At 39.9% G+C, this 23,066-nt stretch overlaps 1 long non-coding RNA gene across 1 annotated transcript in view; it reads right to left on the bottom strand.

Annotated features, from left to right (window-relative positions):
• LOC107986976 (uncharacterized) overlaps positions 1-21,862 on the bottom strand; it is a 41,866-nt gene extending 20,004 nt beyond the window's left edge. Inside the window, exons 1-2 of the long non-coding RNA XR_001746093.2 lie at positions 21,121-21,862; positions 13,810-13,936 (exon numbers count right to left, since the gene is read on the bottom strand). This is a non-coding gene — a long non-coding RNA (uncharacterized LOC107986976). The remainder of the gene's footprint in view (positions 1-13,809; positions 13,937-21,120) is intronic.
• Between the last annotated feature and the right edge of the window lie 1,204 nt (positions 21,863-23,066).

Genomic DNA, 23,066 nt, shown 5'->3' on the forward strand with positions numbered 1-23,066 from the left:
CACTTTTATCACTGTATCTTCGGTGTTTAGAATAGTCTAATATATAGTGGATACTCAGTAAATGTGTATTCATCTATTCCACAAACATGTGTTAAATGCCAATCACTATTCCAGTTGCTGGGGAAATTTGTGCCCTTTTGGAATCTACATTCTAATAGGAGATTTTTGTTAAGTATGAATTCAATGAACTCAAAGATGAGAAACAGTTGGAGCCTGTGCTGAAGGTGCTGCTGGACCTGAAGATTCATATGGGAGCTAAAATTAGAAATCACTTCAGGGGGCCTGGTGAGTTGCAGGCTTTGGTTGGTTGCTTCCAAATCATCTCCCTCCAACCCCTGACACAGGATCCAGATTTACGTTTCAAGAATTACCCTTCTTCCATTTTCAGCAAGAGTTTGGACATGAGTGACCTGACCTTCAGCTCTAGGGGGCCGGCCTTAGCTGTCCTAAGCAATCAGCATGTGACCCTTTGGACACTGACACTGGTTTTCAGAAAAGCCTATGACTCAGTTAAACCAGGAAGACAGGAGGAGACATTTGTTGGAGTTTAAGGGAAGGAAGTGTCTGTTTCCCACGGAAGGTGAAAGAAAAGACTTCTCTCCTGCTGTGGACAACTGTGTCTTCTACAAATGTTGCAGCTAATATTGTTACCATAAATTAAAGGGTTAACAGTATAAGGTGACATGTGGAGGTCAAAACAACATATAGAGAATGACAGAGTCCAGAGACTTGCCCTGATGAAAATCATGAACCGTGGAAGCACAATGTCTGACGGTATTACTCCATTTTCATACTGTTATAAAGATACTACTTGAGTCTGGGTAATTTATAAAGAAAGGAAATTTAATTGACTCACAGTTCCACATGGCTGGGAGGCCTCCAGAAACTTACAATCATTGCAGAAGGCAAAGAAGAAGCAAGTACCTTCTTCACAAAGCAGCAGGAGAGAAAGGGGGCAAGCAGGGAAGTGCCAACCACTTTTAAAGCATCAGATCTCATGAGAACTCACTCACTATGATGAGAACAGCAAGGGGGAAATCTGTCCTGAAGATCCAATTACCTGCCACCAAGTCTCTCCCTTGACACATGGGGATTACAATTGGAGATAAAATTTGGGTGGGGACACAGAACCAAACCATGTCACTGACATTTTCATCTGATGAGGCAATCAACTACCTTTATGGATTACATTCATTTTATAACTTCCAAGCTGTAAAAGCAATATATGTTTGTTGAAACATGACAGACAATAAAAAGACTTACAACACAAAGCTAGCCTTTTTTCCATATGGCTTCCCTTCCCACCCTCTGAAATATTTCATACTAACAGATGAATGTTGTTACTGGCTGAATTTCATTCCCCCAACCACCTAACAAAAATTCGTATGTTGAAGTGCTAACCCCTCATACCTTAGGATATGATTGTATTTGGAGGTAGGGACTTTAAAGAGGGAATTAGGTTAAAATAAGATCATTGGGGGTAGTGTTTAATCCCATGTGACTGGTATCGTTGCAAGAAGAGATTAGGGCACAAACACAGAGGGAAGACCACGTGAAGACACAGGGAGAAGACGGCCATTACAAATCAAGGAGAGAGGCCTGAGAAGAAACCAACCCTGCCAACACTAGGATTGAACTAGGATTAGATTTGGAGGCTAGAGCCTCAAACCTGTAAGAACATAAACTTCTGTTGTTCAAACCACTGCTATAGACTGAAGGTTTTCATCCTCCAAAATACGTATGTTGAAACCTAATCTCCAATATGATAGTATTTGGAGGTGGGCCTTTGGGTGATAATTAGGTTTATTTGAGGTCATGAAGGTAGGGCCCTCATGATGGGATTAGGGCCCTTCATATGGGATAATAGCCCAGAGTTCTCTCTTTCTCCACCATGTGAGGACGCATCCTGAAGACAGCTGTCTGCAAACCAGGAAGTGGAGCCTCACCAAGAACTTGAGCATGCTAGCACCCTGATCTGGGACTTCTAGCCTCCAGAATTATGAGAAATAAATTTCAGGTGTTAAGCCATCCAGTCCATGGTACTTTGTAATGGCAGCCCTAGAAAACTAAGCAGATTTGTATTTTTCTACCCCTTCCTCCTTGCTTTCCCCTATATCTACAATATAGCTACATATAATTAGAGCTCTATGCTTGTTTTTGTCAAAATAGAGTCACACTATACTCATTATTCTGCAATTTTCTCAAAAAGCATGGAAATTGGTAAAAACCAATTTAAGCCAATCTAATTATATCTGTTTTCTAATTTTATAATGCATATATATAAACATAATTTTACATAAATATAATCATATGTATGCTGAGATTTTGAAGGTATTTAGGTTTTTATGAGATTTGTGGGTTTTCTCTTTTGTTTGGGGGGTTTCTTTTGGTGCTTTTTTCTTTTCAGTTTATTTTTCTCTGGGCTTGTCCCATCTTCTCTTTCCTCACACCCAAGATAAATCAAATTAAAAACTTCAAGTGTGTCCTTTTAGCCATAGTTTTCTCTGTACCTTATTATTATTATTATTTTAGAGACAGGCTTTTATTCTATCACTCAGGACAAAGTACAGTGGCATGATTATAGCTTAGTATAACCTCAAACTCCTGAGCTCAAATGATCTTCCCACCTCAACCTCCAGAGTAACTGAGACTACAGGCCCGTGCCACCACACCTGGCTAATTTTTTATTTTCACTTTGGGTAGACGTGAACCTGATCGTCTTACTTTGCTTAAGGTGATCTATCTTCAGCAGGGCAAAGACAAAATAGATTAGAGAGACTCCAGATCCAGAGAAATGCTGTGAAGAAAGCAGTGGACTTTCACACAGGGTGGCATCCAGATCCCTGACGTTTAGGAAACAGCTCTGTGGTTGCTGAGTGCACACCGTTTCATGCCACACACCAGCCTGTCATCAGCATGTGTGTGCCCTACCATGCTGTTCTATTTTCCAGAGGCTCTGGTTTAACCTCTTCCTCTGGCTTAGGCACATGCTCAAGACTCAAACATGCTAGAAATATCATGGATCTAAGAAATGGATCATTTTACAAATCTGTGGGAAGAAGACAATCTCTTCAAAAAGAGATTATAAGTAAAGAATACACACAGGCTATGCCGGTGACCTGTAAACGGATGAAAAAATTAATGTTCAGCTTTAAAAGTAAGCAGTAAATGCAAATCAAAACCATAACTAAATATTTTTTGGCCAATCAAAAAGCGAAATAAAAAATATAGTGTTGGTAAGTATGTAGGGAAACTGGATTGTCATACACAGTTGATCAAAGTATAAATTACTACAAGCTTCCTGAAAGGCAATTTGGCAATTAATAAGCAAATAAAAATGTGACTACTTTTGACCCATAATTCTATCTCTATGAATATAAATTATGACATTTAAGTATTTTATTATCATAGAAAACTATTCACAATACATGAGGTTTTTAAAAAGTATGCATAGAGAAAAACGTATTCTCTCTGAGAAAAATGTCAGTATACTCATGTGCACACATACATAAAGAAAATTCTGGAAGAATGTACATAAATTTTAACAATGGTTACTTTGGGGCTATAGACTAATAGATAATTTAATTTTTCTTTTTGTTTATCTATATTTTTCTATGAGCATGTATTCATTACTTTTCGTTTAAGTTTTTAAAAGGTTAAAATTGCAAAACAGAAATGGAGAAATGGGGGGGTAGCATTCTATTAAACAACATACCTACGTTCAAGGAGGAAAGAAATAGACTAGCTTTCCCATATGCCTTACTCTTTTTCCAAATTTTCTACAAGAAATGTACATAGCAATTGTTTTTAACTAGGAAGGAAGGCTGGGAGGCAAAGCAGAGGAAATGTGGCACAGCCCTTACCACATTCTCAATAATGGTCTCTCCCCAGGTTTTCCTCCCCTCCTGGCTCACCACCTTCCTCCCTCCAAGCCCACAGCCCTCATAACTGGGACTATATGCAATGAACTGGATGGTTGTGTACCTCTAAAGTTCATATGTTGAAATCCTACCCTCTAGTGTGATGGTATTAGGAGGAGACCCCTTTTGGAGGTAATTAAATCATGAGAGTGGGGTCCTCATGAATGGTATAAAAGGGACCCTGGAGGGCTGTTTTGCTCTCTTTATACCTTATGAGGATACTACAAAAAGTCAGTACTCTGCAACCTGGAAGATGGCCCTCAGAGAACCCCACAATGCTGGCACCCTCATCAGGGATGTCTAGACTCCAGAAGTGTCTGAAATAAATTCCTGTTGTTTGTAGCCACCCTGTCTATGGTACTTTGTTATAGCAACCTGAATTGACTGACACCATGCTAGGGCTTTTGCCTCTGTTAACTCTGATTCCTGCCTTTGCATTCTGCCTTATATGTGAACTCTACTCTGACCTCCAAATTCTCCCTACAGCTCACCCCTTCTCCAGTCATGAGCATTTGGCTCTGATTCAAAATACCTGGTTGACTGAATACAAACAATACTTTTTTTTAAAGAGCTTAATATAAAAGAGTGACCATTCACCAAGCACCTGCTATATGGCTGATACTGTGATAGAACAGATCAGATCACATCACTCTTCCATCCTAATGTCCACACTAGCCTCCAATCTCATTCATAATCAACCTGTTATCACAGTGGCCTACCAGGCCTTGTGCCTCGTGGCCCTTGGTCACCCTCTAACTGCATCTCTTCCTACTCCTCCCTTTGCTCACTCTTCTCCAGCTACCCGGCCTCTCTGCCACTCCAGAGTATACATGGACACTCTGCCTTGAGGGTTTTCTATTGCAATTTCCTCTGCTCTGGAATTTTCCCACAGATATTCACTTGGCTCACACTCTCAGCTCCAAAGCTTTGCTTAAATGTCTCCTTCTTATGAGGCTTTCCCTCATCCTTCAAATTAAAACTGAAACCACCCCTGACCTCAGGACCTTGTCCCTTTCTTACTTTTTCTCCATAGCACTCCCCACCACCTAACTCACTATGCATTTCATTCATTCATTTATTAGCTGCCTTCCCCCTAGAACATTGGCTCCCTGAGGACAGAAATTTGTTTTCATTTTTGTATCCCAGCCCCTTGAAAAATGTCTGTCATATACTAGGTTCTGAATAGATATACAGAAAATGAAGAAATTGGTGATTTATGGACAATACTGTTCATTTTCATAGCCATTTCTGGAGGCAGGCATTCAAAATTCCATTTACAGAAAAGCAAACTGAACCTCAAATTAAGAGTGTGAAAATTTCACTCAGCAAGAAACAGTAAACTAGATTGCAAATCCACAGACATCAGGCTTCAAGGCCAATCTTCTTTCCACTACAACTGCCTTACAACCACCCTAATGAAACATGTTTTCCAAAGGTGTGGAGGGACTGGGATCATTCTAGTGCCTATTGTACCTTTCAAAATCCTGCTAGCCATATTGATAACCATATGCCAGGTTTAAGAAGCTTAAATCAATAAGATGATAAACATCTATTCCATTTGTAGGGCATTCAGGCATCTTGCCAGAGCCCGGTGCTCTTGCTCCAGATGTTCTTTTTGGCAGTGCTGTACCATTGGCCCTGGCAAAGCAACTGGCTTTGCAGTTAGACATACCCAGGCGCCAGCCCCAGACCCAGCGTGCACTATCTGAGTGGCCTGAAGCAATTTGCCTCCCTCTCCTGAGCCTCCAGATTCTCCTCTGTAAAAGAAGGTTAATATTCCAACCTCAGGAGATTCTTCCTAGGATTAACTAAAAGCATGCTCACAAAATGCCTAGCATAGTGCTTGGCACTTAGTAGTAAATGTGCTATAGAAGATCCCTGTCTTCCTCAGGTGGCGATAGACAAGGGTAACAGTGAATTTCTTGGGCCCATGGTCAAGGAGCTAAACACACAGGTGAGAACATATTGATGTCAAAGATGCCCTTAGGCCTTTGTACTCTACAAAGATGCTCCCATCGAGTTCAACGACTTTTAGCGAATCATTGAAAGACATTTGTTGTCTAACTTTTTGCAGTCCCCTCATGAGTGAAGAAAGTAATGAAGACAGCATTTTCATGCAGGGGGTCAATGGCTATTTCTGATGCTTCCATTTATTCTTTTGTAGCAGATTCTTAACAAATAAGAGTATTTGTATTTTGTCAGAAAAAGTGAATTGCACAAATGTTATACTTCATCCACTTTTTGCTTCAACCTCATGCTAAGGTAATTTGATTATTACAAAGTATGTGTGTGTGTGCATTGATGGCACATTCACTGTGTGTAATTAATTATTCATATACTATGTCTCAATGTTTCATATATATTACCTCACTTAAGAAGGTAGTGAAACAACCATTTACAGATGAGTACACCATGTGATTTTTTTTTTACTATGGCACTTAGTATTTGAAATTACCTTATTCTATTTTAGTATCTATTATCTTTCTCTTCTAAACTGTGAGCTCCTTGAGGGGAGAGACCATGTCTGTTTTTCTTTACTCCTGCAACTCCAGTGCCTAGATCAGTGTCTAGAACATATTAGATTGGTTAATTAAAGTTTACTTTTAATGGCAAAAACCTCAACTGCTTTTGCACCAAGTTATAATTGGTTTTGAATACATATTTGTCAAAGAGAAAATGTAAAATACATTTTGCTGAAAAGAACTGACCAGCCCGAACCAGAAGTAACCATCCATGAATTCCCAGCAATATGCTTTTCTGAAAAATTACTTGATTACTTGGTTATATTACTTGACATATTAAAATCCTGAACATATTTTCTGGAAAATTACTTAACTATTATGAATATTTAAAATCCTAACTTGTACTATAAGCAACTGATACCACTTCTGGATGATATACACCTTCTTCCCGCCAACTTTACCCCCACTACCCAGTCTTCCTTAGGAGAACAGAAAGAAACATTCTTAAAACCATCCCTGAAATCCCAACTATATACTCAGCAGATCCTCTTTATTCTTTTTACTAAATTCTTGGAGGTTTTTATTGTTAAACCATGGTGAAATTTCATTTGTGTTTTTTATAGTGTAATAATATTACAATGAGATCTACAAATATATAAACAGCCTAAAAATATTTTTGTGCATGGCTTGGAGACGCGTCTTCAAGAGTATCCTTTGAGGTATTCTTAAGAGTAAAAATGCTCTGGAGTTCTACCCTTATTGTTGTTGTTTTCTTCCTTATTATTCCCATATAGGAGAGAACATGTTGATGACAAAGATGCCCTTAGGCCTTTGTACTCTACAAAGATGCTCCCATTGAGTTCAGTGACTTTCAGTGAATCATTGAAAGATATTTTGTTGTCTAACTTTTTGCAGTACACTAGGGCAGTAAAAGATTTTCAACATCTTTTTAATAGTCTAACCAGATCTTATAAAATATGCAAGCTGTATTTTGAAGAATACAAAAAAAGCTGTAATATGTACTAAAAACTGCAAGAAGGAAAACAGTAACAAGCAAGAAAAAACAAAAATTGCTAAAGCCTTCCTTTATTTCCTGTAAGGATTTTTTAAAAGAATTTTACTGTATATATTTGAGGTTTCCAAAATGATGTTATGGGATACATAAAGATAGTAAAATGATGACAATAATGAAGCTGATTAACATATCTATCATCTCACATAGTTCTTTTTGTGTGACAAGAGCAGCTAAAATCTACTTATGAACTCCCATTCACAATTGCTTCAAAGAGAATAAAATACCTAGGAATCCAACTTACAAGGGACATGAAGGACCTCTTCAAGGAGAACTACAAACCACTGCTCAATGAAATAAAAGAGGATACAAAGAAATGGAAGAACATTCCATGCTCATGGGTAGGAAGAATCAATATCGTGAAAATGGCCATACTGCCCAAGGTAATTTGTAGATTCAATGCCATCCCCATCAAGCTACCAATGACTTTCTTCACAGAATTGGAAAAAACTACTTTAAAGTTCATATGGAACCAAAAAAGAGCCTGCATCGCCAAGTCAATCCTAAGCCAAAAGAACAAAGCTGGAGGTATCATGCTACCTGACTTCAAACTATACTACAAGGCTACAGTAACCAAAACAGCATGCTACTGGTACCAAAACACAGATATAGATCAATGGAACAGAACAGAGCCCTCAGAAATAACACCACATATCTACAACTATCTGATCTTTGACAAACCTGAGAAAAACAAGCAATGGGGAAAGGATTCCCTATTTAATAAATGGTGCTGGGAAAACTGGCTAGCCATATGTAGAAAGCTGAAACTGGATCCCTTCCTTACACCTTATACAAAAATCAATTCAAGATGGATTAAAGACTTAAACGTTAGACCTAAAACCATAAAAACCCTAGAAGAAAACCTAGGCATTACCATTCAGGACATAGGCATGGGCAAGGACTTCACGTCTAAAACACCAAAAGCAATGGCAACAAAAGCCAAAATTGACAAATGGGATCTAATTAAACTAAAGAGCTTCTGCACAGCAAAAGAAACTACCATCAGAGTGAACAGGCAACCTACAAAATGGGAGAAAATTTTCGCAACCTACTCATCTGACAAAGGGCTAATATCCAGAATCTACAATGAACTCAAACAAATTTACAAGAAAAAAACAAACAACCCCATCAACAAGTGGGCGAAGGACATGAACAGACACTTCTCAAAAGAAGACATTTATGCAGCCAAAAAACACATGAAAAAATGCTCACCATCACTGGCCATCAGAGAAATGCAAATCAAAACCACAATGAGATACCATCTCACACCAGTTAGAATGGCAATCATTAAAAAGTCAGGAAACAACAGGTGCTGGAGAGGATGTGGAGAAATAGGAACACTTTTACACTGTTGGTGGGACTGTAAGCTAGTTCTACCACTGTGGAAGTCAGTGTGGTGATTCCTCAGGGATCTAGAACTAGAAATACCATTTGACCCAGCCATCCCATTACTGAGTATATACCCAAAAGACTATAAATCATGCTGCTATAAAGACACATGCACACGTATGTTTATTGTGGCACTATTCACAATAGCAAAGACTTGGAACCAACCCAAATGTCCAACAATGATAGACTGGATTAAGAAAATGTGGCACATATACACCATGGAATACTATGCAGCCATAAAAAAGGATGAGTTCATGTCCTTTGTAGGGACATGGATGAAATTGGAAACCATCATTCTCAGCAAACTATCACAAGGACAAAAAAACCAAACACTGCATGTTCTCACTCATAGGTGGAAATTGAACGATGAGAACACACGGACACAGGAAGGGGAACATCACATTCTGGGGACTGTTGTGGGGTGGGGGGAGGGGGGAGGGATAGCATTAGGAGATATACCTAATGCTAAATGACGAGTTAATGGGTGCAGCACACCAGCATGGCACATGTATACATATGTAACTAACCTGCACATTGTGCACATGTACCCTAAAACTTAAAGTATAATAATAATAAAATAAAAAATAATAATAAAAAATTTTTTAAAAATCCCTAATACGGAGAGTCCTGTAAGGTTTTAATTAGACCCAACTTTGTTAAGCCTGGAATGGGAAGAGAATAATGAGCTTCTACTTTGGGAGGTTATGATAATCAGAAATTCTGACAATACTGATTTACTGCAAGGCACAAGAAAGGCCTGGTCTCAGATGGTGGAGTGGAAGGGCATGCAGTTGCAATCTCTGTGAAAAGGGATTAGGTGCTTGGTCAACACACTAAATCTGTGTGCAAGAGCTCAAGATCACTCCAGTCTATAGGAATGCAGACATTTTTTTTCCCATCTTCTTTGGTATTAAAAAATAAATAAATCCTCTCATTGATACAGTGGGAAAGAATTTCAGAGGACATGTGACCTACATCCCTTTTTCAACCAATGGGGTTGAAGCAAAGAAGGGTTTTCTAAAGTTCAGTAAATTAAATAGACCCACGAGAAGGCAAATAGCTTTTTTCTACTTTTAGTTGTTGAAAAAATAGAACAAATTAGCAAATTATGAAAAAAATTAAAAATCAAATTCTACCGTCTTAGTAGTTTCATTTCATCTATGTAGGCATAAAGATTTTTGAAGTTGGGATGAGAAAGATGGATGATTTCCAGAGATTTATTTTATTTTATTTATTTAATTTTATGTTTTATTTTTATGACTACATCAAAGCTTTTATTTTCAATAGAGTTGATATGATTTGATCATAAGACTGGATGTGGCAACAGAAGATAGGGATTGAAGATTCCCAAGAATCTGATGTGGGTAACTGGGCAAACACCTTACGTAAACACCATCAGCCCAAGGAACAAATCAGAATCTCATTTTCGCAAACTATTCTTAGTGAATACTTGGCTATGTGAGTCCACCAATAGGTTCTACCAATAGACGCACTGGTTCAAGATGTCTATTCAAAAGTGAACAATGGGAGGCAGCCACCAGGACATAGAATTCCTTTTCCCAGAGGTCTGGGAGTGAAGTAGCAGAGGTTCAAGCGTACAGAGGCTAGCATCCTGTGTCCATGTCCAGGCTTGACATCAATGAGGTCTACTGTATCAGCCTTGCATTGTGTTTTAGGGAATAATTCTTGAAAATGAAGCTTTCAAACCTGATTCTTTTGATTTCCTTGGGAGTTCCTAAGTTACTTGTTACTGTAATACATTTCTTTTCTGCTCAAGGATACTAGAAGGGTATGATAACTGATCTCCAAAGATGGCCCTCTGTGAGCCTTACCTCCCAGTATCCGCAACCTTGTGCTGAACCCTCCTCTTGAATCTGGGTTGGCCCTGGGATGCACTCACAGCTGAATGTAGTGCAGTGATGCTGTGCCTTTCGTGACTGAGTCATAGGTAATCTTAAGCTTCCGCCTGTGCTCCTTGAAATGACGGCTCTTTGGAAGCTCTCATTTGGAACCCAGCTGCCATGCTGTCAGAAACTCAAGCCACCATCCCACTCCCTCCTCCTAGGAGTTGGAATTTTTTAGATTCCATATGTAAGTGTGATCATAAAAGATATTTGTCTCTCTGTGCCTGGCTTATTTCACTAGTGTAATGTCCTCTAGGTTCATCTATGTTGTTAAAAAGGACATAATTTCTCATTTTAAAGGCTGAATAGTATGCTATTGTGCATACATATTACATTTAAAAAATCACTCGTCCATTGATGGACACTTACGTTGTTTCCATATCTTGACTATTGTGAATAATGCTGCAATGAACATGGATGCAGAAATATTTTCAACACACAGATTTCAATCCCTTTGGGTAGAGACCCAGAAATGGGATTGCTGGATCATGTGGTAGTTTTAGTTTTAGTTTTTTGAGGAACCTACATACTGTTTTCCAAAATAGCTGTACTAATTTGTAATATCATCAACATCCTACAAGGATTCCCTTTTCTCTACATCACTTGTTATCTTTCCTCTTTTTGATATCAAAAGCTGGGAAAGTGAGGTGAACAGGGAGAAAGGAGAAGTTACTCAACTAGTACAAAGTTTCAGATCAAAAGGAGGAATAAATTCTAGTGTTTCACTACACAGCATGGTGACTATAGTAATAATGTATAATTCAAAATAGCTAAAAGAGAGGATTTAAATGTTCTCACCACAAAGAAATGATAAATATTTGAGGTGATGGGCATGCTAATTTACTTGATGTAATCATTCCACAATTGATACATTTATCAAAACATCACATTGTACTCTATAAATACATAGAATTATTATGCATCAATTAAAATAAAATAAAACTAATGAAAAAGAGAAACAAGCCACATGGAGAAACTATGTATAATGTCAGGACAAATGCAAATTAAAAGTAAGAGGCTTAATTCTCCCTATTGAAAATAAGGGAATAAATTTCCCTCCCCATCTTTTCATAGCATTTCCTTTGGAAAAACCTGTCATTTTAAATACTTTCTCCTTCTTTGAGGGGATAAGTCCTTTTTTCTAGATAAATTGTTTTAAAGACTAGGTAGGCCTTTTCTCAGCAGTATGATCCAGTAATACCTTCCTCTAGGGACTGGGAGCCATCTCTTTGAAATGGAACATCAAGGGAGACAGCACCCCTACCTCCCAATTTCTGTGAGAGAATAGTAATCTAACTTTGGTGGGTATCTTGATCCAAGTTGCAAAACACCTCCTATTACAGAGATATAAGAAGTTAGCTACCACAAATGGTCGCCCGATTACCAGGTAAAGTCAGGATGAACTAAATATGACATATGGTACTGTCAAGTCGTCTTACTTGATGGCTAGTTATTGTTTATCTTGAAAACAAGCATGCAATGGGTGATATTTGCTTGGCTATATAAAAGGGTGAGATGTTTTTTCCGTCTTTGCAGTGTCTTAGTGGACTGCCTGTGATGTGCATTGTATTCTGGTTTAATGTTTATTCAATAATAAAACTTTTATTTATCTACTACTTTTGTGGACAGATTTTCTGTGTTGGGAAAATAAATTTGTTTTAAATTATGCTTCCCCAAAAGTAGATGCCCTGTGTCAGCCCCAGTGGAGGTCCCAGATGACAGCCAGTATCAACTGTCAGCCATGGAGTGAGCAGTCCTGACATCCAGTCCCGTGAGCCCTCAGATGACTGCAGCCCCAGCCCACATCTGACTGCAGCCCCAGCCCACATCTGACTGCAGCTATGTGAGACCCTGCAAGCCAGAAATGCCCAGCTGAACCCAGTCAATCATAGAACCATGAAAGATAACAACCAATTATTGTTTTAGGCCACTATGTTTTGAGGTCACTTATTACACAGCAAGAGATAACCAAAACAAATGACTCGTTCTTGCAATTAAGAACTCTGGCTGATACATATAAACTTTCCTCTCCTTGGTGAAAAGTATCCTGAGAAATGAGAGTGCTTTCCACCTCTGAATTCCCCCATTGAAACTGGTGTTATTTTCTTTACAGAGTAGTTGCTAATAATTTTTTTTTTTTTTGCTTACATCTCTTTTTGGACAGATTGGGATTTAAACAAAATAAAAACAAGTTGGATGCAATGCTTGTCAGTTGAACAGAATATTTTTATCTAACAACTGCCTCTACAAAGCATTTGCTTCTGTTTGTTTACACACTCTGCAAATAATTTTCCTACAGTTTAAAGCCAATACACAGGAAATTGTGTTTAGAAAGTGCCAAGGCATTTTCAAAACCATTTTCAAGCTCTTCCCTTGGTTCATTGGGCATTTCAACGCTTATGCTCATTTCAGGGGACACGATTTTGGGCTTCTGTGCCCACCTTTCTTCCATTTTAACGGTATAATGAAAAGCTCCCTATTTCTTCACCATAGGGACCTTTTTCATAAGCATCCACTGAACACTGTAAAGACTGAAATGAAATGAGTAGGCACAAAAAAAAATGCTATCTGGAGGGATTCATTGTTCCCTTTCTCTGGAGCGTCAGCTTGTGCATGTAACAATCATTGGATTATGTTTCTGCAGATGCATATTGTCTCCTGCAGTTTGACTTTCCCATTCCCCTGACAGATTACTGACTCCGAAGGTTTGAAGATGAAAGCAATTCAGACATAATCTTCATGCTTTTTCAGGATTGGCAGATGCCTTTTAGTTGAGATTTAAATTGAACTTTGGAAATTTAAAGCTGCTTTCCTTAGCTGATCTGGATCTTTCCTAATGTGATTACTCCTCAACTGAGATGCTCTGGAAGCATGGGCTCAAAGCATCAATTTCCCATCCTTCCTCACGACCATTTTTAAAAGCTGCACGTGACAGGAATCAGCCGACCAGCCATTTACAGAGAAAAGATTGTTGTAAAGGAAATATATTGAATGAAAACCAGACTGCAAAGTCTATTCCAGGCAACTACCTCATGTCTGGCTTGCTGCAATCTCTGACTTACCTCCGTTATCCATGCAGCTTCGGAAAATGACCTCATGACAGGGAGTAAAAAGTACTTGAGCAATTTAGAAAAGTAAGATGAGCAAGTGAGGTCAGGGAGAATTCATTCACAGTGTCAGCAACCTTATCTGAAACAAGACAAAATGTTAGTATGTATCTCCCAGAGTTGACAGAAAGCCTAAAAATGATAAGCACTTAGGTAATAGCCATAGCATTGTGTCTGGCTCCTTGTAAAGCACTGAATCAATTTTGCCTTTCAGTATTGCCATGTCCAGGATAACAAATGGGAGCAATGCATTCTGCATTGTGCACTATGCTTTTTTTTTTTAATTATACTTTAAGTTCCAGGGTACATGTGCACAACGTGCAGGCTCGTTACATAAGTATACATGTGCCATGCTGGCCCCTGCACCCATCAACCCGTCATTTACATTAGGTATTTCTCCCAGTGCTATCCCTCCCCCTGCCCCCCACACCAGGACAGGCCCCAGTGTGTGATGTTCCCCTCCCTGTGACCAAGTGTTCTAATTGTTCAATTCCCACGTATGAGTGAGAACATGTGGTGTTTTGTTTTCTGTGCTTGCAATAGTTTGCTCAGAATTATGGTTTCCAGCTTCATCCATGTCCCTGCAAAGGACATGAACTCATCCTTTTTAATGGCTGCATAGTATTCCATGGTGTATATGTGCCACATTTTATTAATCCAGTCTATCATTGATGGAAATTTGGGTTGGTTCCAAGTCTTTGCTATTGTGAATAGTGCCGCAATAAACATACGTGTGCATGTGTCTTTATAGTAGCATGATTTACAATCCTTTTGGTGTATACCCAGTAATGGGAGCGCTGGGTCAAATGGTATTTCTAGCTCTATATCCTTGAGGAATTGCCACACTGTCTTCCACAATGGTTAAACTAATTTACACTCCCACCAACAGTGTAAAAGTGTTCCTACTTCTCCACATCCTCTCCAGCATCAGTTGTTTCCTGACTTTTTAACAATTGCCATTCTAACTGGTGTGAGATTGTATCTCATTGTGGTTTTGATTTGCATTTTTCTGATGACCAGTGATAATGAGCATTTTTTCATGTGTTTTTTGGCTGCATAAATGTCTTCTTTTGAGAAGTGTCTGTTCATATCCTTTGCCCACTTTTTGATGGGGTTTTTTGTTTTTTTTTTTTCTTGTAAATTTGTTTAAGTTCTTTGTAGATTCTTGATATCAGCCCTTTGACAGATGGGTAGATTGAAAAAATTTTCTCCCATTCTGTAGGTTGCCTTTTCACTCTGATGGTAGTTGTCTTTGCTGTGCAGAAGCTCTTTAGTTTAATTAGATCCCATTTGTCTATTTTGGCTTTTGTTGCCATTGTTTTTGGTGTTTTAGTCATGAAGTCCTTGCCCATGCTTATGTCCTGAATGGTTTTGCCTAGGTTTTCTTCTAGAGTTTTTATGGTTTTAGGTCTAACATTTAAGTCTTTAATCCATCTTGAATTAATTTTTGTATAAGGTGTAAGGAAGGGATCCAGTTTCAGCTTTCTATATATGAGTAGCTAGTTTTCCCAGCACCATTTATTAAATAGGGAATCCTTTCCCCATTTCTTGTTTTTGTCAGGTTTGTCAAAGATCAGATAGTTGTAGATGTGTGGTGTTATTTCTGAGGCCTCTGTTCTGTTCCATTGGTCTATATCTCTGTTTTGGTACCAGTACCATACTGTTTTGGTTACTGTAGACTTGTAGTATAGTTTGAAGTCAGGTAGCATGACGCCTCCAGCTTTGTTCTTTTTCCTTAGGATTCACTTGGCAATGCAGGCTCTTTTCTGGTTCCATATGAACTTTAAAGTAGTTTTTTCCAATTCTATGAAGAAAGTCATTGGTAGCTTGATGGGGATGGCGTTGAATCTATAAATCACCTTAGGCAGTATGGCCATTTTCATGATACTGATTCTTCCTATCCATGACCATGGAATGTTCTTCCATATGTTTGTGTCCTCTTTTATTTCATTGAGCAGTGGTTTGTAGTTCTCCTTGAAGAGGTCCTTCACCTCCCTTGTAAGTTGGATTCCTGGGTATTTTATTCTCTTTGTAGGAATTGTGAATGGGAATTCACTCATGATTTGGCTCTCCGTTTGTCTGTTATTGGTGTATAGGAATGCTTGTGATTTTTGCACATTGATTTTGTATCCTGAGACTTTGCTGAAGTTGCTTATCAGCTTAAGGAGATTTTGGGCTGAGATGATGAGGTTTTCTAAATGTACAATCATGTCATCAGCAAAAAGGGACAATTTGACTTCTTCTTTTCCTAATTGAATACCCTTTATTTATTTCTCTTGCCTGATTGCCGTGGCCAGAACTTCCAACACTATGTTGAATAGGAGTGGTAAGAGAGGGCATCCCTGTCTTGTGGCAGTTTTCAAAAGGAATGCTTCCAGTTTTTGCCCATTCAGTATGATATTGGCTGTGGGTTTGTCATAAATAGCTCTTATTATTTTGAGATATGTTCCATCAATACCTAGTTTATTGAGAGTTTTTAGCATGAAGGGCTGTTGAATTTTGTCAAAGGCCTTTTCTGCATCTTTTGAAATAATCATGTGGTTTTTGTCGACAGTTCTGTGATGGATTACGTTTATTGATTTGCACATGTTGAACCAGCCTTGCATTCCAGGGATAAAGCAGACTTGATCGTGGTGGATAACCTTTTTGGTGTGCCGCTGGATTCGGTTTGCCAGTATTTTATTGAGGATTTTCGCATCAATGTTCATCAGGGATATTGGTCTAAAATTCTCTTTCCTTGTTGTGTCTGTGCCAGGCTTTGGTATTAGGATGATACTGGCCTCATAAAATGAGTTAGGGAGGATTCCCTCTTTTTCTGTTGACTGGAATAGTTTCAGAAGGAATGGTACCAACTCCTCTTTGTACCTCTTGTAGAATTCAGCTGTGAATCCGTCTGGTCCTAAACTTTTTTTGGTTGGTAAGCTATTAATTATTGCCTCAATTTCAGAGCCTGTTATTAGTCTATTCAGAGATTCAATTTATTCCTGGTTTAGTCTTGGGAGGGTGTACATGTCCAGGAATTTATCTATTTCTTCTAGATTTTCTAGTTTATTTGTGTAGAGGTGTTTATAGTATTCTCTGATGGTAGTTTATATTTCTGTGAGATTGGTGGTGATATCCCCTTTATCATTTTTTATTGCATCTATTTGATTCTTCTGTCTATTCTTCTTTATTAGTCTTGCTAGTGTTCTATCAATTGTGTTGATCTTTTCAAAAAACCAGCTCCTGGATTCACTGATTTTTTTGAAGGGTTTTTTGTGTCTCTATCTCCTTCAGTTCTGCTCTGATCTTAGTTATTTCTTGCCTTCTGCTACCTTTTGAATTTGTTTGCTCTTGCTTCTCTAGTTCTTTTAATTGTGATGTTAGGGTGTCGATTTTAGATCTTTCCTGCTTTCTCTTGTGGGCATTTAGTGCTATAAATTTCCCTCTATACACTGTTTTAAATGTGTCCCAGAGATTCTGGTACGTTGTGTCTTTGTTCTTGTTGGTTTCAAAGAACATCTTTATTTCTCCCTTCATTTTGCTATTTACCCAGTAGTCGTTCAGGAGCAGCTTGTTCAGTTTCCACGTAGTAGTGCAGTTTTGAGTGAGTTTCTTAATCCTGAATTCTAATTTGATTGCACTGTGGTCTAAAAAACAGTTTGTTGTGATTTCCATTATTTTACATTTGCTGAGCAGTGCTTTACTTCCAACTATGTGGTCAATTTTGGAATAAGTGCGATGTGGTGATGAGAAGAATGTATATTCTGTTGATTGGGGGTGGAGAGTTCTGCAGACGTCTATTAGGTCTGCTTGGTGCAGAGCTGAGTTCAAGTCCTGGATATCCTTGTTAACCTTCTGTCTCATTGATCTGTCTAATACTGACAGTGGGGTGTTAAAATCTCCCATTATTATTGTGTGGGAGTCTAAGTCTCTTTGTAGATCTCTAAGGACTTGCTTTATGAATCTGGGTGCTCCTGTATTGGGTGCATATATATTTAGGATAGTTAGTTCTTCTTGTTGACTTGATCCCTTTACCATTATGTAATGGCCTTCTTTGTCTCTTTTGATCTTTGTTGGTTTAAAGTTTGTTTATCAGAGACCAGGATTGCAATCCCTGCTTTTTTTGTTTTCCATTTGCTTGGTAGATCTTCCTCCATCCCTTTATTTTGAGCCTATGTGTGTCTCTGCATGTGAGATGGATCTCCTGAATACAGTACACTGATGGGTCTTGACTCTTTATCAAATTTGCCAGTCTGTGTCTTTTAATTGGGGCATTTAGCCCATTTACATTTAAGGTTAATATTGTTATGTGTGAATTTGATCCTGTCATTATGATGTTAGCTGGTTATTTTGCCCATTAGTTGATGCAGTTTCTTCCTAGCATCAATGGTGTTTACAATTTGGCATGTTTTTGCAGTGGCTGGTATCGGTTGTTCCTTTCCATGCTTAGTGCTTCCTTCAGGAGCTCTTGTAAGGCAGGCCTGGTGGTGACAAAATCCCTCAGCATTTATTTGTCTGTAAAGGATTTTATTTCTCCTTCACTATGAAGCTTAGTTTGGCTGGAATTGAAATTATAGGTTGAAAATTCTTTTCTTTAAGAATGTTGAATATTGGTCCCCACTCTCTTCTGGCTTGTAGAGTTTCTGCCAAGAGATCCGCTGTTAGTCTGATGGGCTTCCCTTTGTGGGTAACCCAACCTTTCTCTCTGGCTGCTCTTAACATTTTTTCCTTCATTTCAACCTTGGTGAATCTGAGAATTATGTGTCTTGGGGTTGCTCTTCTCCAGGAGTATCTTTGTGGTGTTCTCTGTATTTCCTAAATTTGAATGTTTGCCTGGCTTGCTAGGTTGGGGAAGTTCTCCTGGATAATCTCCTGGATAATATCCAAGTTTTCCAACTTCGTTCCATTCTCCTCGTCACTTTCGAATACACCAATCAAACGTAGATTTGGTCTTTTCACATAGTCCCATATTTCTTGGAGGCTTTGTTCATTCTTTTTACTCTTTTTTCTCTAAACTTATCTTCTTGCTTCATTTCATTAATTTGATCTTCATTCACAAATACGCTCTCTTCCACTTGATCAAATTGGCTATTGAAGCTTGTGCATGCATCAAGTAGTTCTCATGCCATGGTTTTCAGCTCCATCAGGCAATTTAAGAGAATAAACTTCTCTACACTGTTTATTCTAGTTAGCCATTTGTGTAATCTTTTTTCAAGGTTTTTAGCTTCCTCGCAGTGGGTTCAAACATCCTCCTTTAGCTCGGAGAAGTTTGTTATTACCAACCTTCTGAAGCCTACTTCTGTCAGCTTGTCAAAGTCATTGTCTGTCCAGCTTTGTTCCATTGCTGGCGAGGAGTGTGATCCTTTGGAAGAAAAGAGGCACTCTGGTTTTTAGAATTTTTAGGTTTTCTGCTCTGGTTTCTCCCCATCTTTGTGTTTTTATCTACCTTTGCTCTTTGATGTTGTTGACCTCCAGATGGGGTTTTGGTGTGGATGTCCTTTTTGTTGATGTTGATGCTATTCCTTTCTGTTTGTTAGTTTCCCTTTTAACAGTCAAGTCTCTCAGCTGCAGGTCTGTTGGGGTTCGCTGGAGGTCCAATCCAGACTTGTTTGCCTGGGTACCACCAGCAGATGCTGCAGGACAGCAAATATTGCAGGACAGCAAATATTGCAGAACAGCAAATATTGCTGCTGCCTGATCCTTCCTCTGGAAGCTTTGTCCCAGAGGGACACCTGCCTGTATGACGTGTCAATCAGCCCCTACTGGGAGGTGTCTCCCAGTTAGGCTACACAGGGGTCAGGAACCCACTTAAGTAGGCAGTCTGTCCATTCTCAAAGCTCAAACACCATACTGAGAGAACCACTGCTCTCTTCAGGGCTGTCAGATAGGGAAGTTTAAGTCTACAGAAGTTTCTGCTGCCTTTTGTTCAGCTATGCCCTGCCCCCAGAGGTGGAATGTACAGAGGCAACAGGCCTTGCTGAGCTGCGGTGGGCTCGGCCCAGTTCGAGGTTCCCTGGCCACTTTGTTTACCTACTTATGCCTCAGCAATGGCAGACAGCCCTCCCCCAGCCAGGCTGCCACCTCACAGTTCGATCTCAGACTGCTGCGCTAGCAATGACCAAGGCTCCATGGGCGTGGGACCTGCCAAGCCATGCACGGGATATAATCTCCTGGTGTGCTGTTTGCTAAGACCATTGGAAAAGCACAGTATTTGGGCAGGAGTGTCCCGATTTTCCAGGTGCAGTCTGTCACAGCTTCCCTTGTCTAGGAAAGGGAAATTCCCCGACCTTTTGCACTTTCCAGGTGAGGCAATGCCCCACCCTGTTTCAGCTCGCCCTCTGTGGGCCGCACCCACTGTCCAACCAGTCCTATTGAGATGAACCAGGTACCTCAGTTGGAAATGCAGAAATCACCCATCTTCTGTGTCAATCATGCTTGGAGCTACAGACCGGAGCTGTTCCTATTTGGCCATCTTGGAATGGAAGCTGGGCACTATGCTTTAAGGGGGACATTGCAAAGTGTAGTACTACAAGAGAGGGAGGAAAAGGGGAGGAGAGGGAGGAGGAAAAAGAGGTGCAGAGGAAGGATAAGGAGAAGACAGAAAAGGGAAAGGAAAAGAAGGGAGAGGAAGATAACCAGAAGGATGAAGGACCTTTCCATAAAGCCAAATAAGAATGTCTGCAGGAAACTAGATATCATTCCTGGAGCATATAAAACACAGAGATGATGAGACTTGAAATGCCTTATGGTTAAGGGAACAGACTTTGTTCATTTAGCAGTTACAAATGTAACGCTTACTTTGTGCCCAGTGTGCTATGAAGCAGTGAGGATACAAACATGGTCCCTGCCTTCACACAAGTGAGAGTACAGCAGAGGAGACAGGTAATTTAAAAGGTCACTACTATACCATGTGTTATGGTACTGGGACAGTAGAAGTACAGGTGGCTGTCCTGGAGCAGAGCATTTAAGTAATGTTTTGAGGGAAGGGGAAGGTGTGGGTTTTCCAAAAACGCTTCCACCTGGCACTCACTAGGACTAAAATACCTGGGAAATTACTTAACCATTTTAAGTATCAGACGTGCACCTGTCAAATGGGAATAATAACAGTTCCTGCTGCCTCACAGGGGTGTTGTGAAGAATCAATACAACACCTGTATAAAGTGTTTTGACCAGTGCCTGCCACAGGACAGAGACTCACATTGTAAATCTATTATTTTCATTTGGGAGGGAGAAGAAACAGAGTACTCCAGGTTCCTCTAGAGCCCTCCTTTCCTAAATGGTCACCTGTTCCCCGGAACATAGATGATAGGAACATTCATTTCTTCTTCCATTTGTTCAGCAAGAATTGGTCCAGCTCCTACAGCCCTGGAAAGTTGACAGTGTAGCAGAGGAAACAAAGAAGTGAACATTGTCATTCTGAGATATGTGTGATTATTATGAGAATATATGATTACATCTTATTATTATAAGGCAGAGAGTCAGATTTCTGCTCAATAATGTAAGTAGACTGGCCCCAAAATAAAATATAATTCACACTATATTTATTACATAGGCTGTGCTTTAGGATTTCTTGGGAGAGCTTTTTAAAATGCAAATACTCAATCCTCAGCCCAGACCAATAGAATTCAAATATTGGACCATTGTATGATTTAAAAGCTACCCCCACTTTCCGAAAAGGAAAGGCTATCCAGGTGAGCCCAACATGCATGCAGGGTTATGAACGATTTGTTTAGAATCACTGCCTGCCTTTCAAATGTCAGCATCCTTCAGAGCCGCCCACATTTTCCTCTTTCCTCCTATAACCTACTGCGTGTTCTCAGCCTCCTGCAGCTTCAGAAATCTTTCCTTCAGCTCCGGACATGCGTGCCTCACTGCATGATGGTCCATTCAGGGAGAAACAGGCAATTCCACCCTCTGCCTTTATCATCTTCTAACCTCAGTCCTCACCCCAGTGAACGGGGCCGCCATCCACCACATACACCTTTTCCATGCCTAGTCCATTAGCTGGACAAGTCCATGTCCCCCAGCAGCCTCTCCCTCCAGTCAATCTTCTCCATCCCCACTGCCCCTACCTTTGTTCCCTGAAGCCCTCATCATGACACCACATTTCCCCCAACTGCCTTCTGACCGGTCCCCTATCAGCCACACTGCCCAAATGTGCATCTGAACATGACTGACTCACTGGTAAAAATGCTTTCTCGGCTTCTCATGGTTTTCAAAGTAAAATCCAGCTCCTGGGACAACCTGCACAACATGCCATGGCCTGGGCAAGGCCCAGCCTGCAGCCTCATCTTTGCCATTCTCTCACCCGTGCCATGAATCCTGGCCCAGCTCAGCTTCCTCCCACATGCTCCTCTCTCTATCTGGAATGTCTTTTCCATAGTTGTCACTGGACAACTACTTTGTACCCTTTAAAACTTCTCCAGAACTCTCTTCCTGACAGGCAGGCCTCCTTCACAAGCCAGAGTTGAGGGGGAAGTCTCACTCCACTGTGTCCAGGAGCCCCTGTGCTCACCGCTGCCAGATTCATTCCACTTGGTTGAACTATGCCTAGCCCATTGTCTTAATACATCTGGGCTGCCTCACAAAATACCACAACTTAGGTGGCTTATAAACAACCAAAATTTCTCTCTCACAGTTCTGGATGCTGGGAGGTTCAAGATGAAGATACTGGAAGATTCAGAGTCTGGTAAGGGCCCACTTCCTGGTTCACGGATGGTCCTCTTCTCACTGTGTCTTCACCTGACAGAAGGGATGAGGAATCTCTCTGGGGTCTCCTTTAAAAGGACACACATTCTATTCGTGAGGGCTCCACCTTCATGTCTTAATCACTTCCCAAAGGTCTCACTTCCCAATACCATAACCTTGGGGGTTAGGGTTTCAACAAATAAATTTAGGAGAAGAGGGCAGAAGTATTCAATCTATAACACCCATAGTAGGTGTTCAGTAAAATTTTAAAGACGGCTGATTGATGTGAACTACAAAGATCTTTAAGAAACAGCTGAATGTGTTTCTGTTCCTGAACAAATGCAGGCAGACTTGGAGAGCATTCGGGACTCTAGGCCGCCCCATTTGATCATTCTGGAGTATCCACGCAGCATTGTGTGTCCAGGCATAAGATAGGGAAACCAACTAGAACAAAAAAAGAACTGGCCCCAGTCACCAATGCCAATGTAGCACAGTTACCTCTAGCATGAGTCAAGTGTGAATTCATACCCAAACAGTAATTC

This window comes from Homo sapiens, chromosome 8 (assembly GCF_000001405.40).
Source record: "Homo sapiens chromosome 8, GRCh38.p14 Primary Assembly".
Lineage (NCBI taxonomy): Eukaryota > Metazoa > Chordata > Mammalia > Primates > Hominidae > Homo > Homo sapiens.